The sequence below is a fragment of the Homo sapiens genome, chromosome 6, assembly GCF_000001405.40.
Source record: "Homo sapiens chromosome 6, GRCh38.p14 Primary Assembly".
Taxonomy (NCBI): Eukaryota; Metazoa; Chordata; class Mammalia; order Primates; family Hominidae; genus Homo; species Homo sapiens.
The window spans coordinates 708310-727518 of NC_000006.12; the positions used below are offsets into that span (position 1 = coordinate 708310).

General features: G+C 43.1%; 2 annotated features.

The window, feature by feature from the left end:
- Positions 946-1146: a silencer, noted in NCBI's record as "peak5620 fragment used in MPRA reporter construct". NCBI's record gives its function as "represses an SCP1 promoter by STARR-seq MPRAs in K562 erythroleukemia cells {active_cell/tissue: K562}" and the evidence as "EXISTENCE:reporter gene assay evidence [ECO:0000049][PMID:32103011]".
- Positions 13794-13873: a silencer, noted in NCBI's record as "silent region_16818". NCBI's record gives its function as "represses an Ori minimal core promoter by ATAC-STARR-seq in GM12878 lymphoblastoid cells {active_cell/tissue: GM12878}" and the evidence as "EXISTENCE:reporter gene assay evidence [ECO:0000049][PMID:35858748]".

The following is a 19209-nucleotide window of genomic DNA, read 5'->3' on the forward strand; positions in this document are numbered from 1 at the left end:
AGAAATTAATTGCTTTTGGGCAATGCCTAGATTCAGCTGTGAATGAGTCTGTGCACAGATTGTAAAACATACTCTGGCCTCGTTCGTCTCTGTTGAAAGGAAATGGCAGCCTCTTGCCATACCAGGAAAGGGTAAGTCACAAAAAGTGATTTTGCTCTTGTTTATTCTGTGACGTACATTTCTTTGAAAAACATTTTAGTTTTTCAACCCCAGAAGGGAAACCATCAGCCATGCTAAAATTTATTGTTAAGCCTAGCAAAGTGGAAATGATCGTGGAAAATATTAGAGAGGTATAATTTTTATTTTTTGAGACTTTGTACAAATAGTAAAACATGCCTTTCCCCATATCAGTTCAGACTTACCCACAAAAGCCCAGGCAGCCAAATGGACTATAACAACCCAGGTGTCATTTATTTTCTTAAGATATCATTTAATGTAACAAGACAGAAAGAGCCAGAGGTTCACTACCAGGAAGAAAATGATATGGCCATGAATAGTGTGATTTGCATTTAACTTTTAATTTTAGAACGGCTAAATGAAAAGAAAAAATGCTAAATATATTTTAATCTACCAAGTGAATGAATGCTTTCTAGCTTGTTTTCTAAACTGCTCAGAAGAGTGGAATTGCTGTAAGAACCCTCCTCTGTACTGGATTAAATATTCTGCAGGGCCATCCAAGGTTAAGTCTCTTCTTTATTTAAACTGCAGCACATTTCCTTTTCTTCATACTCGGTTCTATTACTGTGTGTATATTTTTAATAAACAAACTTATTTTCCTTTATCTTTTTCTTATTTAGTTTAATATACTTTTTAAACAAGTGAGCCTCAGAGAATTATTATGAATCTCAATTGCATATGTAAAAATACTTTCATAGTCTATGAAGATCTATAAAAACATAAAGTATTGCCATTATTATATGTGCAGCATTTCTTATGATTCTGCATTTCAAATGCAGAATCAGTATCATGTGAAAAACCCTAATTATCTTATTTAGCTCACATGGGCATATTCAAAATAAGTGGCTCAGCTTAGCAATATTTGCATAGTCCAAACAGATTTTTTTCCCCTCTTTGACACCTTTAATTTTAGGGCAAAATATGTATGAAAAAATTCTATTTATGAATTACAGTAAGGCATTAATAAGTTATTTCAGCCAAGAAGTCAGATACCTTTACATGTTTTGTTAAATGTAAAGATAAAATTTGATTGACAGTTTAGTGCTATCACCAATTTATAAAAAGTAATGAAAAATAGCAAATTTATACCATTAATTTTTTGATTAATATGTACAGATGAAGTTTCTTTTCTTTCTTAAATCAGTTGCCCACATGAGAGATCAAATGTTTTTCTAGCTTTTACTTTCAGCTCACAGACATGGCCACCTTTTGCTCCACAGAAAGTTCTTATCATTTTCCGTTTCAAGGTAAATTGATGTGCAATTACCATGCTCATCAGTTACACCAATAGCAGAAATGCATATAAACCAAGAGAAAGTAGCTCTCAAGATTAAGAAAATGACCTAAGTTCAGTCTCATTTTAAAGACAGAAAAATGGAAATGTATTTGCCTTTCAATGGACACACTTTCAGGGTATTGAATAAAAGTAACCGTCTTTGATAACTAAGTCTACCAAACGTGTACATATTTTCAACCATTCTAAATCTTTTTAAAAATATGTATCATGCAAAATGCATCAGATTTTAACAATTTATTCTCTCTACATTAGTTTAGAAATTAAAGATGCATACATCCAACATGAAATCAAAAGTCAGTTTTAAGGTGTAAATTATCTAAGCCAGGTATATAAATTTAATTTTTGCCAAAATTGTGTTTTTACATGAATCCATTGAAATAGAGCCTTCTGTGAATGGTAGGCAATACAAAATTTATAGCGGTGGTAGATTATTAGAGCGACGTGGTATAGCATCTTGAGAAAATAAAATATTTCACCGTCAACCTTCATATTCCTAACAATGCTAGTGTAACACGCACATTTTGAAATTTGTGTGAAGCCCCAGTGCTACAGTGATGAAGCAAGCTCTTTTTTAATTTTAGTTTTTTTATATTAATCTGACCAAAATTTAGATTCAGTCCATTTTATGATGATTTTAGACACTCGGCATCAATTGTTCCATGGTACCAAATAACTTTTTATATTACCTCTGATTTGTCTTTTGCTTTTCACAGCAACTGAGCACATCACTGTGTTTTCCCCTTTTCCCTGAAGAAGTAAACTTGTCTTTTTAGTCTCATGACAAAAGCAGGCAACTCTGGTGGCTTATATTTAGTTACAATTTATAAAGGCAGGACTGCGAGTCAAACCCGGGACGTTTTTTTCTGTTGTGTGTTTGCGTGCTGACGGGGACTGGCTTTTCTTCTTCTTCTTGTAGTTTGAAATGGAAACGCTGCACTGCTGAGAAAATACCACGGAAATAGAACCCACTGCATTCCAGGAAAATAAATAAGCAAGGCCACCCAAATTTTCAATGAGTGCTCCTGCAGAATGCAGGAAATGGCAGGAGATCCGTCCGAGGCACCCCAGGCCGGGTCGTGGGTAGAGAGCAGGGACGAGGGCTGGGAGGGGACGCAGGCACAGGGTGAGGGTGGCCCGTCTCCAGGGAGAACTGCGCGCTCACAGGCGGGGCCGGCTTCCCGCATCAGCCCGGCCGGGCTGCAGGTTCTGAGCGAGGGGGCGGCCGTGCCTCACTCTGGGCGGGACGCGGCCTGGTGCAGGGACGCTCACTTCCAGTGGCATTTCCCGTCTTACACGATGAGCTTCATCCACGTTCTCCATAACCCCCTCCCCGCCACGGGAAGCGTCAGCCACCTGGAACAGCCCTATTCTGCTCGGTTGTAAAAAGCGTCAGGCGCTTTTGATTTGAAAAGCGTTAGGCCTGGGAATCGCTGTTGCTCCCTCGGTGGGCACGCCCTGCTGACACGCCCTAGCCCACCGGGGAAGCCACTGGCCACGAGGGAGCGAGGCGCACGGGTGTCTTCCCTCCCCAGAGTGAGTGTCAGGGAGGAAGCCAGGTCTTCCAGGGCGCTGACAAGGCAGGGCCGGGCTCCTTCCCTCCGTTGTGTTTCTCTGAAATGTTCGAATCACTGGTGTGACGGGAGCACTTAAAGCCGAAAAAGGAAAGACGAAAGCAAAGGATTCTTCAGGGCACATGTGTACAGACTCCTGCTTCCCCTCACTTGCTTTCTGTTTCACTTCTCAGATCATCACTACAGCGTTTGCAGCTTTCCAGCTCATCATGCTGAACTGAAGACAAGACGAGGGGAAAATCAAGGGTGGGTTTTTCCGCAGCACCGTGGTGTCCCGGCTTGGGATACGTTTTATCTGTTGTGAGCCTAAACCTTTTTTACTTCTCAAGCCAGGCCAAATTTTTGGATCCCCTTCAGGTTGCATTGGTAAACAAGAAGGAAATGTACACATTCTATTTATTCTTACAACCAAGAAATGAACTAATTGAGTAGCTAGTGTGGACCACAGTTGCAAAGGAAGGAACTCACAAGCGAGCTCTTCAAGCTGTGATTATGTGGGCAGGAACAATGGCCTGGGTAAAGAGAAGATGAATAGCCATCACTCCAGCCAAACAGCAAATATGAAACTCAAATTGTGCTTTGTTATTTTTCAAATAGCAATGCTGTGTATTTGTGGGAATCATAGGAGAGATTTTTTAAAAATTCTTATCTGCAAAGGTAGAATGAATGGGAACAAAAGCACTGACTGTGTATTTCTTCTTAGTCAGCTTCTTCCAGTTGAGCCCATTTTCTTGGCAAATCAACTCTTTTGTTAGGTTGAAAAGGGTATCATTTCCTTTTCACAGTAAAATCAGGAATTTCATTTTGTGCAATACTACAGCATTTCCTGTCATTGAATTCTAATGGTTTGGGAGTGTGTTCTTTACCTAGCTTTCCAATACAAAGCAAGGAACAGAAAAAAAAAGTCTCTTTCCATTTGCAATAGTTTCTTTTTTTTTTCTTTTTTTAAATTATTATTATACTTTAAGTTTTAGGGTACATGTGCACAATGTGCAGGTTAGTTACATATGTATACATGTGCCATGCTGGTGCGCTGCACCCATTAACTCGTCATCTAGCATTAGGTATATCTCCTAAGGCTATCCCTCCCCCCTCCCCCCACCCCACAACAGTCCCCAGAGTGTGATGTTCCCCTTCCTGTGTCCATGTGTTCTCATTGTTCAATTCCCATCTATGAGTGAGAACATGCGGTGTTTGGTTTTTTGTCCTTGCGATAGTTTACTGAGAATGATGATTTCCAATTTCATCCATGTCCCTACAAAGGACATGAACTCATCATTTTTTATGGCTGCATAGTATTCCATGGTGTATATGTGCCACATTTTCTTAATCCAGTCTATCGTTGTTGGACATTTGGGTTGGTTCCAAGTCTTTGCTATTGTGAATAGTGCCGCAATAAACATACGTGTGCATGTGTCTTTATAGCAGCATGATTTATAGTCCTTTGGGTATGTACCCAGTAATGGGATGGCTGGGTCGAATGGTATTTCTAGTTCTAGATCCCTGAGGAATCCCCACACTGTTTCAAAATATACATGGCTTGAGATTTTGTAAGTTTAGGAATTTCCAGCCACAGGAAAATCAAGAACTGTGAACTGCCGTAGCATCTGCTCTCACTCCCAGGGAGGGCAGCTCTGGGAGGAATGGCCCACGGAGCATGCGCAGCTGTGGCCTTCCAGCCTGCCCCTCTGGCCCTCAGGTGCCGCGGTCTGCTTCTCTTCTTGTCTTCTGTCTTTTCACCACCATACCGGCAGCTCTTGGCGTTTGTTAGCACCTTCCATCCATCCAAGTGGCTTCCAGAGAATTATCTAATGAATTCATACCAGTGTAAGTTATTCATAGGGTTTAACTGATTTATTCAGCAAATGTGCAAATGTTTCCAAGCACCCTACTTGTTGAGGTCTCTGAGAAATATAGAAATGATGCTGGCACTTGATAAAATACCAAAATAAATCACCACCCTGCAAGGCTTTGGGCTCAGTGTCAGAGATGGAAGGGACCTTGATACCACGCAGACCAAACCTCTGATTTCATAGATGAGAAAGTTAAGGCCTAGAACTAGCCAGTGACATGAGCAGATTTCCACTAAAACTCCGTAGAAATCTGCTGGTCTCTCTGCTGCTCTTTCTGGATTGCATCAATATCCAAATCTTTCTCACATGTTGTGGTAGATGAAATTGCTGTTAAAATATTCACTGCCCCTCTGACAGGCTTCTCCCACTGAGGGAATGACACACCCTCATCCCACTAACATCAGCCTTGGCCCTGACTTGCTTTGAGAGTGGAATGAGAGCAGAGGTGACCTATGCCGTAGCGCGACAGAAGCTATCTGCCTTTGTTTTTTTTTTTTTTCTTCCAGGGCATCCACATTAATCTGGATAAAGGCTGCTTCTTCAGCCACAGCTAAGGTGCATGTAATAGGAATGAGAGCCACCTGTGTTTCAGAAAGCGTCTGGGATTTTAGAGCTGCTTGTAACTGCAGCCTAACACAGCCTCAGCCGACTGATACATCCAGTGTCGTCAAAACAGAGCAGGTATTGTTCCATTCTGTACAGTTTAACCTTAATCGGGACCCTCATGTGCACTGGGATCCTGATTTGGGTTCATGGACGGAAGACGCCCATGTACTGTGTGCTCCAGTGCTCCGTGGACGGTCTGGTCTTTTCCCAGGCTGGGCATGGACAGAGAAGGGCACACCTGGAAAGCCAGGGACTCTGCTGTCCTGCAGTGGCCAGGTTTACCCACGCCTTGAGAGGCTTTCATTTGAAATTCAGGGCCCCAACTTAGCTGTCCAGGTGGGAGAGACTCTCCAGAAAAAAAGGATGAAGATGTGCTTTCTGTCTTTGTATTTTTGGTAACTTCAGATAGCCTCAACGTGAGCCACGTGTTCCTAAAGAAAAAATCAGAAAACATATCCATGACATAGGCCAGTAGGGAACGTATTTATGAGAAAGCAGGAAAGCAGGCCCAGGGCACACAGATCTTATCTGGGGAGGTGGCTTTTCTACTGGACTTTGAAGAATGAATAAGAATTTGACATTCAGAGATGGCAGGAAACAGCCATTTGTGGTAAAGGCTCATTGTGATCGGAGACATTAGAACAGAAAGGCCTGGGATGTTTCAGAAAGTTGGTAGTGCAGTTTTTATTACTTCTTACAGGAACATGTTCCTCTTAACAGCAGAAAGAGGCTTAACCTAAAGAATTTAATTGCTAACTATACAATTATGTTTACTAGGTTAGGCCAAGTATTTTGTTGTCTGTTTTTGTTTTATGAAGGAGAGGAGGTTGCTGTGGATCACCACACGTGTCTACCTAGTCTTTGATGGCTTACAGCATTTTACTGATATTTAGGCACTGATCATGTATAAGGATAACTCGTCCACTTTTATCTGTGTTCTCTATCCTGGACACTGAGCTACTCAAGGGCAGGGTGAGTGTCTTGCTGAACTGATATCCTGAAGCTGAGCACAGTTCTTGACACAAATGGGAATGCAGCAAATGCTTATTGAGGAATAAATCAATAAATATGGCTAGCCTGCCTCAATCTTAAAATGTAGAAAATGTGCCCATTTTCTGAAGTGAAGGTATTATGTGCCTCTCTTCAATATGTAGAAAAATCAAAATCATCATCATGATTCACCCAACGTGTGTAATGGCCGACCCTGAACAGCGAGTCAAATGTTTTCCTTTAGAAGAGGGTTCACAGCTGTGCTGGGCATCTTCCTGTTTTATTTGTGACCATGGGTGCCTTTGCAAATCCATTTGTGACTAAATTCACAAAAATTTAGTCACCAAAAAAATGAGAAGAAGCAATATGTAATTGCCCTTTGAAATTGATTTGCAAACCATTGTTTATTTCAGCTCAGTGTTTTAAAATGATATTCACAATAATGTGAATGTCTCTTCCTGCCCCAGCTCATTCTATGGTCCATGCATGTTTCTGAATCATATGGCTGAGCTATAATCCCCAGAAACCAGGGACAGCTGTCCGTGGACGGACATGCTTTTCTGGAAGGATCTCTCCACTGGACACCTTACAGCTGGTGGGAATTACCTGAGCCATGGTGATATGGAAAAACCCACATCAGTCAGGATGCTATGACTAATAGAGTCTAATATAGTTCTTTAAAAGAGGTAATTAATTTGTTAGCACAAAATGGCCAGAATGATTTATAGAAATAAAATAGATACTGCATATAAATAAGTACTTACTGTTGATGTCATCATTGGAGGCAGTGTAGACATGCATAAACAGATGGAAAATGGGGCTGTTGATTAGATACTAGTTCTGCCCTCTATTGCCTTGGGAAAATTAACCACTCTAAGCTGCAGTTTTTTAATGTGCCTGATGGAGATAATGTTTTCTACTTGTCTGCATCGTGGTGCATGGCACAAGCAGGTACCTTAAATATTTGTTTCCTTTTCTTTTTCCATCATAAATAAGGATTTATTATGTGCTGTAACAAATTATTCTTCATGATGATTACTTAATTATTTTTTATTGACTTGGTTTTTATTTGATTTTTGATGATATTTTAAATTATTACACAATCAGTTACCTTTGATCGTGACTGTATTTGCTAAATACAAAATAGTTACCGTTCCTTCTGTGAGCAAAGCAATCGGCTCAGGGCTAATGTTCACTGGCACGGTGCTTACCCAGGATTTCCCTCCTTCCTTCCCAGCCCTTAAATCTCCTCCCTCCCACCATCCTCCTGATGAAATACATTCCCAAACCATAGCCTGTTTAGAGGTTGTGGCACATGGCCATCTTCAATATAGCAGTCCACTCTGAATTTAAATTTGTCACCATTTTCCTTAGAGGGAATGAGAAGGAAAATGAATTTAATTTAGTATAAAAAATAAACATTTCTGGGCACTGGAAATGTCTGTGGTGTTTTAAGAGCTGTTATCATTAATCAGTCAAGCATGTTTACCCAGACCCAGGATTGCTTATGAAACTGAACCGCACGCCCCGAAGCCCTTCAATGAGAGATGGCCACCAAAAGCTGAGGCAGGGAGTGCGTGTTCCCGGTCATCGTCACAGGCCCCAGCTGCTCACGGGGGTGGCATCTTTCAGAGCATGCTCCTCATGGCTGAAAGGAGGTGACACAAAGCAGTCGTTGGAAGTATTGGAAAGCACCACGTGTGCTATTGTTACCTTGTGGCTCTCCAGTTCTGGCCAGGGTATTTTCTTGTGGTTGTGCTTCTAATAGTCCATCCTGTTATAATTTTCAAAGGCAACATCATCTGCATGAATTCTTTTTATGCCAGTTGTAAAACAGCCATGATAATTATTATCATTAGGTGATTCTCACCACACAAAAGGGGGCATGGCATCTGCCAGGCGGGGAAGGTTATTTAGGAGCCAACAAAGCCAGGAGGTGGGCAGGCAGCACTCGCAGTCTGCGCTGGAACGAGCAGAGTCTGGGCCGGGGAGAGCTGGTGCGCGTGTCACTTGAATGTGCGCCTCCACTGCCCACAAAACACTTCCCTTAGAAACAAAGGCAAAAAGGAAGCCCAACATAGAAAACGTGAAACCAAAAAACAGCAGATTCATTCATTCAAGACACATGTGTTGAGTTCTAATTATATGCTTGACACAGGTCTAGGCTCTAGTGAGGAACCTGAAACAAGGCAACACTCCTCCCTGCCCAGAGGTAGCACAGGCGTTCCAGAGGGAGAGAGCGATAATGAGCACTTGCATATTTAATATAATGCCCGACGGGGCAGCATTCACTGAGAAAGCAGAGAGCAAGGGGAGGAGATAAAGGCTGACCGGAGGGCAGGGGGCCTATTTCACATGGAGGTCATGGGAAACAACTGAGGGAGATGACATTTGGCAAGAGACCTAATGAAGTGAGTAAGTCGTAAGAATTCAGGGGAGAAGGGAAGTGTTCTAAGTGGAAAGGACCAGCAAGTGCAAAGGCCCTGAGGCATACACGAATGTGATCCGGGAAGTGCAAAGGCCCTGAGGCATACACGAATGTGATCCGGGAAGTGCAAAGGCCCTGAGGCATACACGAATGTGATCCAGGAAGAGCAAAGTGGTCCTCCAGGCAATCACAGAAAAAGAGGGCAAGAACAATGGGGTGGAGGTCGATGAGCTACGCAGGAAGCAGGTCAGGGCGGATACCACGGGCTGCACAGTGAGGAGTTTGGATGGAATTGTGGGATTTTGATGGGCAGGAGAGAGGATGATATGATTTGTGTGTATAGAGATCGGCTATAGGGTTGCAAGAGTCTGAAACATGGAGAAGAATTTGCAGGCGTTTGCGTTAGCCTAGGCCTGCAATGGTGATGGCTCTGAAAGGAGTGGAGGCAAATGTGAGGAGCAGGTGCATTTGAGCTGTGCTTTGCAGGTAGAACTGGGGGCCTTGCTGATGGAGTGAATGTGAGGAGGGTGAGAAAAAAGATAAACTATTACAGCATAGTAGTGCTTACGAGCAAAGACTAACCGTAACCCTAGGGTTAGGAGATGATAAGAGCCTACGTCGTTCAAGTCTTGTCTTTGCTCCTTACTAGCTGTGTAAATTTGGGCAAGGTATTTAACCTGTCTGTGCCCATCTGTAAAATGGGGATGATCATAGTATCTCCTTCGACTGGGGATTGTGAGTGTGCATGGGACACACACACGTGTTTAGAACACAATCTGGCCTCCAATAAGAATATATGTGTTAGTAATTACTATTATTGGTGAATTAAGCAATTAGGTGAATTTGGTGCCATTTACTGAGATGGAGAAGACTGGAGGAGGAGTGAATTTTGGGGAAAATCTTAGGAATTCTGTTTCGGAAGTGTTCAGTTTAAGATGTTTATCAGACTTATACACAGAGGTGTTGAGCTGGACATAGGAATCTGAAGGTCCCAGGGAAAAAGGAACTAGAAATAGAGATGCGATCTTTAAAGCATGACTCCTGAAAGAGATCAGAAACATTGAGAGCTTGGGGAAAGGAGGAAGAGTCAGCAAAGGGAGTTAAAAGAAAGGGCCGACAGTGTTGGAGAAAATTAAGTGTTCATTTTCTAAGAGAAACAGTGCTTCAAGAAAGAGGCAAGGCCAACTCACAAAGTCCAGTAAAGTTTGGAGCCATGGACGCTGCAACTTGTACAAGAGGCTTCAGTGTTGTGTGAGGTCAGACGCCTTTGCGGAGTGGGCCTGGAGAGCAGGCAGGTGAGAAAGTGCAGATGGTGTATTAGAAAGGCAGCCGCCAGGGTGCCTCCGCCCAGATGCGTGCAAGCTTGAGCTTTACAAACCCTTCACTTTCATGTTGGCACTGCTGTAAGGCCCATGGTTTTCTTGTTCCCTTCCTATTCTTTCAGGAAGGAATCAGAGTCAGCAATGATGGTTCTGTTGCTTAAAACTAGTGACACTGGCACACTCACCTGAATGGTGCACAATTTGGCACAAACGGATTTATGGATGTGAGTTGGAAATTGAGAGATTCTGTGTCCTAAAACCAATCTATAGATGATGATCTCCAGGTAATAGAAAGTTTTCCTGCCCTCTAAAATGATCCTATGTGTTTAATACAAATGTGCAAATAAATAAGACATCTGTACTAGCAATGAAAAGCAATCAGACAAATCGTGTAATTTTGGAAATCCTCACAAATGCTTCTTGTTTTTGTTTTGTTTTTGAGACAGAGTTTTGCTCTTGTTGCCCAGGCTGGAGTGCAGTGGCATGATCTTGGCTCACTGCAACCTCCACCTTCCAGGTTCAAGCGATTGTCCTGTCTCAGCCTCCTGAGTAGCTGGGATTACGGGCACCCACCACTACGCCCGGCTAACTTTTTGTATTTTTAATAGAGAGGGGGTTTCACCATGTTGGCCAGGATGGTCTCGAACTCCTGACCTCAGGTGATCCACCCACCTCGGCCTCCCAAAGTGCTGGGATTACAGGCGTGAGTCACCGCGCCTGGCCCACTAATGCTTCTTAACCTGTCCCTTCCTTTATGGACTTAATTGCGTCTTCCCAACATTCACATGTTGAAGTATGTGACTGTATGTGGAGATGGGACCTATAAGGAGATAACCAAGGTTAAATGAGATTGGAAGGGTAGGGCCTTGATCCAACAGGACTGATGTCCTTATAAGAAGAGAGAGAGGCATGAGGGCCATGGGAGGACACAGCAAGGGGCGCCATCTGCAAGACAAGGAGAGGTCTCAGAAGAAACCAGGCATGCCGATCTTGATCTCGATCACTGACTTGCGGCCTCTGAAACTCAAAAACGTGTTGTTTAAGCCAACCTGTCTCTGGTACTTTGTCACAGCAGCTGGAGCTGACTAATACACTTAACCTCACATACCTATTTGAATGATGTTCTTTAATCTCTTTAATCATGGTATCTCTTTAATCTCTTCCCTCTCCAGCAACCCCACTGTCGGTGCCCTCATTCAGGCACTCACTACCTTCTTCCTGCACCATTAGAAAAGTCTTCATATTGGTTTCATGTCTGCCCTAATCAACCCATTCCCTACACTCTTTCCAAGTCATCTGTCTTAGGACCAGAGCCAGGAATAGGATTAATTGGAGTCAGAGCTTCCCTTTAGGGCACTTCACCTGTTGGAGAACTGGAGAAAATATGAAGAGGATGCTCACTACGGGTGCAGGTTCCTAAGCACCACAGGAGTGTTGAAAGACAGAAACAAGCTGTAAACCCAGAGACACGCTGGGAAGAGGGAGCCCCAGCAGCCACTGCAGTGAGCTGGCCACTTGGCCACGCACAAGAAGTGGAATTTATTCATTCATTGATTTGCTCAATCATGTTGAATGAGCACAAATATATCTCTGACTTTGTTGAGCTTCTATCCTGGTGAGTGGAGACACTTAAACATAGGCATAAGTTAATGAGATGATTTAGGATGAAAAGGGGTGCTATGAAGATTCTGAAAGGGGCAGTGGGATGGTGGGAAGGGGTGCTTCTGGTAGCATGGTCAGATAAGTGGACAGAGGAAGTGACGGGACTCCTGGGATATGAAAGATGAGAGGTAGCTGGCCATGCAGGGGAATAACATCCCATGTAGAGGAAACTGCTCTTGCAAAGTAGATAAGATGGGTGGAGCCTACAGGCAGGGTCAGAGGGATTTCAGGTGTTGTGGACTGAGAAGCGCTAGATATAGCATCTTGTTGGCCATGGGAGGTGTGTTTCATCCTAATTAGACTGGTGGCCTCTGGGGGGTTGTGAACTGGGAGATGATAAGATTTTATCTCTATTTTAAGGTGGTCCTAGCTGCTGAGGGTGGAGGTGTTGCTGCTACACTGGGGTGTCAGCAATAGGAATCGGCAGGGGATGGAAGGCTCAGAGTTTCTTTTGGCAGTTAAGCTGCTGGGATTTGCTATTAGGTGGAATATGTTTGTGAGTGAAAGAGGGGCATTAAGTGTCCAGGAGGACGGTGGTGACATGGACTGAGAGAAGCAGGTTTGGGTGTGCCGATTTAGAGTTACAGTTTAGCTTGGGTAAGTTTCCGATGCAGTCATGCGTTACTTAACGATGGGGACACACTCCGAGAAATTCATCATTTACAGGTTTTGTCATTTTGTGAACATCAAAGAGTGAACTTGCACAAACCTGATACAGCACTAGCTTGTCCAACCTGCTGGCTGCAGGCCACTTGTGGCCCAGGATGGCTTTGAATGCAGCCCAACACAAACTTGTAAACTTTCTTAACACATATTTTTTTTCAATTTTTTTTTTTTTAGCTCACCAGCTATCATTAGTGTTAGTGTATTTTATGTGTGACCCAAGACAATCCTTCTTCCAGTGTGGCCCAGGGAAGCCAAAAGATTGGACACTTCTAGTATAGCCTATTGCTCCTAGGCTACAAACCTGCACAGCATGTGCAGTTGTGACACAATGGTGTTTGTGTATCTTAACATGGAAAGGTAGAGTAAAAATATGGTATCTTATTGTCTTATGGGCCCACCATCATAGATGCAGTCTCTCATTGACCAAAATTTTGTTATGTGTCACATGATGTTAGTACTAGATGTTACAGAAAGGGAGATTGGCAAATGCGTTCACAGATACCACTTAGGAAGTAAGAAAAGGGCCCAGATGGAGCGCTGCATTTGGCCAGAGGAACGTAGTTGGTGCTTTTGATAAGAGCCATTTTAGCTGAGCCATGAAGATGAAAACTGCTTTCACCAGAGCATGTTCGAGAGAGAATGTGAGGCCAGAAGGTGGAAAGTTTTGTGGAGAAGAGTAGAGAAGTGGGGGTAGGGAATCTCCAAGGGATGTGGGGTAAAAGAAGGAGTTATTTATGCTGAACTAGAGCAAGCCTTGCTTGTCTGCTGCCGGGAATGAAGCCTTCCAACTGGTGGTGCAGGAGACAGGGCCCGTCAGAAGGAGCTGGGTTCTCCTGCGGCTGGTGAGGTGAGGCACGGAGCACAAGTGATGGTGCTGAAAAAGCTAAAGTTGGGGAATGGAGGTTTTTTCCATTAGAAGAAATTTTTCTCCTAATGATACCAGGAGGATTTTTCCTCCTAATATCACTATATGATACTTTTATCTTTTATGCTGTGAATATTAAATGCCATTTGACTTTAATGGTACTATATAAACACGATGTATAATGCAAGTACTAACATTATAATTGTAATTTTAAAGAATAGTTTAATGAATGTAATGACTATTCAAATATCGTGCTAATAATTTACCATGAAGTAACAACTTTTCACTATGTTTATAGCAGATTAAGAAAAATGTCCCTTTTGGGGAGAATAGCGATAGACCAATTTTTGGATTTGAAAATCAGCGTCAATTTCCACTGTAGACTTTGGAAATGACCCTTTGCTTATGAGCTCCAAGCACCCACTAGAGGGCGCATGCGAAGGCCTCTCCAGGCACGCAAAGGAGCCGCCGGAGCCCTTTCCTTAGGAGGCGGATCTTAAACCAAATGTAAACAATTTTGCTTCATAACAGTGATGACTTACTTGTTGCTGTTTCCTAGGCAGCGAATTTAAGGGTAATGATCAAAAAGCTAAAGTTAGACGATTGAAGTTTTCTCCTTACTTGAACATTTCTTTTGTAAAAGCACATCTGTTAAACAAAAAAGATGAATATTGTTAAGCTTTTGCAGAGGTATATAAGTTCCTGAAGTCTTTTGAGATGAAAAAATGAAATCAAAATGCAAAACGCAATAATGATATATTCTGAAAGAAACTCCTCTTTGGTATTCTGTTATCAAATAGCCTTAGTGGGAAATGAATATATAGAGTCCAACTACCATTTCTCTATGGAAATAAAGCCCACGAGGTCTTTCCTTTCTTACCCAGTCCATTCCCTGATTTTAAACATTCAATAAGTTCCAAGCCAAGAAATGCATTTTTCTTCCTTTTGATGATTTTCTGTGGTTCCTTAAGATGGTTTGTAGAATATATTACGGCTGTTGACCCCTGCAGGCAGTTTCCAGATCTTCGTGGTTTCCTCTACAGCTGTGGGTATTTCTCTTGTGAAACCACAGGTCAGTTCAGAACCACAGAACTTATCCTGACAATTAGAATTTTAGCCACTGTCCTGTGGGATTTTCAGAGCCACAAGGACTCCATGCTTTCAGTCCAGATCCTTAAATTAGTACCATCTGATGCCTGAAACATTCATGCGTTATCCAAGGATCCGAGGTCAACCTTTCTCAACTTTTTATTGAAAGTTAGCATATGTGCCCATCTCCTACATGTCCCCACAAATACCCTCCCTAGAATGCAAGATCATGAGAATGAGGATTTGGCCTTCCCTATGTGTTCTCGTGCCTGCCCCGTTGCCTAGTACCTGGCCTTTGTAGCATGGCTGAGTCCTTCCTTAGGGTCTCATTTAGAGCAGTGGGTTTCAAACGTTAGATTGCATTCAACTCTGCTAGAGGGCTCGAAAAAACACGGATTTCTGGGCCCTATTCCCAGAGTTTCTGATTCATAAAGTCTGGGGAGTGGAAGAAAATCTGTATTCTAACAAGTTTCCAGGTGATGTTCTTGACGTGACAGCTAAGTTTTGAGTCCCACAGGGTTTAGAGCATTATGAGTTCCATCAGAAAGAAGAAAGGACATGCCTGATGCTGCAGAGTTCAGTTTCGACTGAGGGAGGGAACATGGCTAGTCTTCACATGGAAAGATAACCCTCATCAAGGGCATCACTGATCTTTGAGCCATGTTAAACGTGTAATGCCTGTCAACTGAATAGGACCTCTGGGCATGGAGAGAGGATGGTATGGAAACAGTCAAGTTGTTTGTTTGGAACTGGGTATGCAGTCACTTCTCACTGATTTCCCTGTGCTATTGTATTAACACTATGACAGTGTTTAAAGTATGAATTATTAACCACTTAGGCTTTTTAGCAAAGGAAGTATTTGTCTCAGTGATATCTACAATGGAAGTATTCATTTCTCCATTCACTTTTCGGAGGCATGGGTTTGGTCCTGGCTTTGCAATTACAGGCAGGAACCAGTAGGAGAACTGATCATCTGCTCCCATGTTGTATGTCTGCTGGAGGCAATATTTTGCCTTTCCATCTCCAAGTGAAGTCCGCCTGGCCCTCCCTGTCTCAGCCTGGACTTTTGGAAGCTGAGCTTCGACTGAATCAGTTTTTGCAAGGTCTAGGCTTTTTCTTTTTTCTTTCTTTTTTTTTTTTTTTTTGAGATGGAGTCTCACTCTGTCGCCCAGGCTGGAGTGCATTGGCATGATCTTGGCTCACTGCAAGCTCCGCCTCCTGGGTTCATGCCATTCTCCTGCCTCAGCCTCCCGAGTAGCTGGGACTACAGGCGCCCGCCACCACACCCGGCTAATTTTTTGTATTTTCAGTAGAGATGGGGCTTCACCATGTTAGCCAGGATGGTCTCGATCTCCTGACCTCGTGATCCACCCGCCTCAGCCTCCCAAAGTGCTGGAATTACAGGCGTGAGCCACTGTGCCTGGCCTAGGCTTTTTCCACCTGTTTGGATATCTGTTTCTTTAAAGAATCCAACATATGCAGCTTCTAAGTTTATGCTTTTCAAACAGGTGTGTGTGCGTTTCCTGCCATGTGCCAGGGGACATGAAAGAGCACAAAGTCAGCATGGCACCTCCTGGAGCAGGGATTCCAGGATTAGCCAAGTTGGAGGTTTTAGATGGAACTGGCATGCTGCCTGTGCCCTGCACTATGCCACCTCTGTTGCAGCATAGTGGACAGTCCCCATGCATGCCTTCCCGAGGGCTCATGGACTCTCTCAGCTTACCAACGGTCTTTCTCTAGAGCAGAAGTACCTTCTCAGCCAGCAGTTAGCCATTGTGGAGGTGCCAGGGGAGTTAATGCCCTTAGGAGCAACTCTTGGTCCTTGGAGGCAGGAGTCAGCACCCACTGAACGTCAGCATACATTTCCCACCTTCCAGCCCTTCCAAGGGATGATCCTCAGAAGTGTGTTCTGCTGGGTTCCTCCAAAGCTCTCAGTGAGACCCAGCTCCAGTTGCCCATAGTGGCAACCCAGCTCAACCATGCCCTCCTAACACCTTTTCTTTCTTCCCTGACCTTTCTGCCTGCACTCAAGTCTTTTCTCAGTTTGCAAAACCAGGATACACAATATTTAGTATCTCCCAAACGTAAAATAAGTGGAGTGCAAAATTCAAAGAAAATTCAGGATGCATAGTAGTGTTTAGAGAACAACATGGGGCTGTCATGATATATTAGACACTTGCTTTCCCTTCCATGAAAAAAAAAAAAGGAAAACAATTGCTCTGTGTTCTAAAGAAGATTCATTATCTGCTGTCTCTTTACTTACTGCATACATACACCTCAGACTTCTGCAATTTGGCTTCAGACCCCACTTTCCACTGAAACTCCTAATCAGTAGCCTCTAAATCTTCTTCTCCATGAGGATGGACTTTTTTTCCATTTGTTTGTGTCATCTCTGATTTCTTTGAAGAGTGCTTTGCATTCTCATTGCAGGGGTCTTTCACCTCTCTGGCTGGCTGTGTTCCTAAGTATTTTATTCTTTTTGTGGCAGTTGTGAATGGTATTGCCTTCCTGATTTGGCTCTGAGCTTGGCTGTTGTTGGTGTACAGAAATGCTACTGATTTTTGTCCATTGATTTTGTATACTGAAACTTTGCTGAAGTTGTTTATTAGCTGAAGGAGCTTTTGGGCTGAGACGGTGGGGTTTCCTAGATGTAGAATCATGTTGTCTGCAAACAGAGGTAATTTGACTTCCTTTCTTCCTATTAGGATGCCCTTTATTTCTTTCTCTTGTCTGATTGCGCTGGCCAGGACTTTCAGTACTGTGTTGAATAGGAGTGGTGAGAGAGGTCATCCTTGCCTTGTGCCAGTTTTCAAGGGGAATGCTTCTAGCTTTTGCCCATTCGGTATGATACTGGCTGTGGGTTTGTCATAGATGGCTCTTATTATATTGAGGGCAACCTAGGCAATACCATTCAGGACATAGGAACTGGCAAAGATTTCATTACGGAGATGCCAAAAGCAATCACAACGAAAGCAAAAATTGACAAATGGGATCTAATTAAACTAAAGAGCTTCTGCACAGCAAAAGAAACTATCAACAGAGTAAACAGAAAACATAAAGAATGGGAGAAAAATTTTGCAAACTATGTATTCGACAAAGATCTAATATCTAGCGTGTATAAGGAACTTAAAAAATTTGCAAGAAAAAAAAAAACAACCCCATTAAAAAGTGGGCAAAGGACATCAACAGACACTTTTTGAAAGAAGACATACATGTGGCCAACCAGCATATGAAAAAAATCTAAGTATCACTAATCATTAGAGAAATGCAAATCAAAACCACGGTGAAATACCATCTCGCACCAGTCAGAATGACTATTATAAAAAAGTAAAAAACTAACAGAGGCTGGTGAGGTTGCAAAGAAAAGGAAACACTTATACATTGTTGGTGGGAGTGTAAATTAGTTCAGCCATTGTGGAAAGCAGTGTGGGGATTCTTGAAAGAGCTAAAAATGGAACTTTTTAACCCAACAGTCTCATTACTGGATATATACCCAAAGGAATACAAATCGTTGTGTCATAAAGACATATGCGTGTGTGTTCATTGCATCACTATTCACAATAGCAAAGACATGGAATCAACCTAAATGCCCGTGAATGGCAGACCAGTCTACCACATTTTAAGTGGTAGATATACACCATGGAATACTATTCAGCCATTAAAAAGAATGAAATCGTATGCTTTGCAGGAGCATGGATGGAGCTGGAGGTCATTATTCTTCGCAAACTAATTCAGGAACAGAAAACCGAATACTACATGTTCTCACCGATAAGTAAGAGCTGAATAAAGAGAACCAATGGACACAAAGAGGAGAACAACACACACTGGGGCCTACTTGAGGGTAGAGGGTGAGAGGAGGGAGAGGAGCAGAAAAAATAACTGTTGGGTATTAGGCTTAGTACTGGCATGATGAAATAATCTGTACAACAAACCCTCGTGACATGGGTTTACCTATATAACAAACCTGTACATGTATTCCTGAACCTAAAATAAAAGTTAAAAAAGAAAATTAGCCAGGGATGGTGGCACGTGTCTGTAGTACCAGCTACTTGTGAGGCTGAGGTGGGAGGATCACTTAAACCTGGAGGTTGAGACTGCAGTGAGTCCCGTGATCTATGATCATGCCACTGCACTCCAGCCTGGGTGACAGAGCGAAACCTTGTCTTTAAAAAACAAAAATTGTTCTAAAGTCGTCAGAGAGATCCCCATATTTTCTATCTATAATTTACCTGTCATAGGCAAGGCGGCCTTCTCCTTCTTTTTTTGTTTTGAGACAGGGTCTGGCTCTGTTGCTCAGGCCGGAGTGCAGTGGTTCCCTCTAGGCTCACTGCAGCCTCAACCTCCTGGGCTCAAGCAGTCTCTCCACTTCGGCCTTCCAAGTAGCTGAGACCACCAGTGTGTGTCTGGCTACTTAAAAAAAAATATTTTGTAGAGATGAGGTCTCATTATGTTGCCCAGGCTGGTCTCAAAACTCCCGGGCTCAAGCAATCCTCCCGCTTCAGCCTCCCGAAGTGCTGGGATTACAGGCATGAGCCACCGTGCCTGGGCTCATTTTTCAGAAGCAAGGTCACTAATTATTTTACCTGTGCTTTTCTTCCTCTGTGATCTGGTGGTTCCCTCTCCTCTCTTCTGCCCTCCTCCTTCCTTCTCTCCCCTTCCCTCATCCCCTTTCCTCATCCCTCC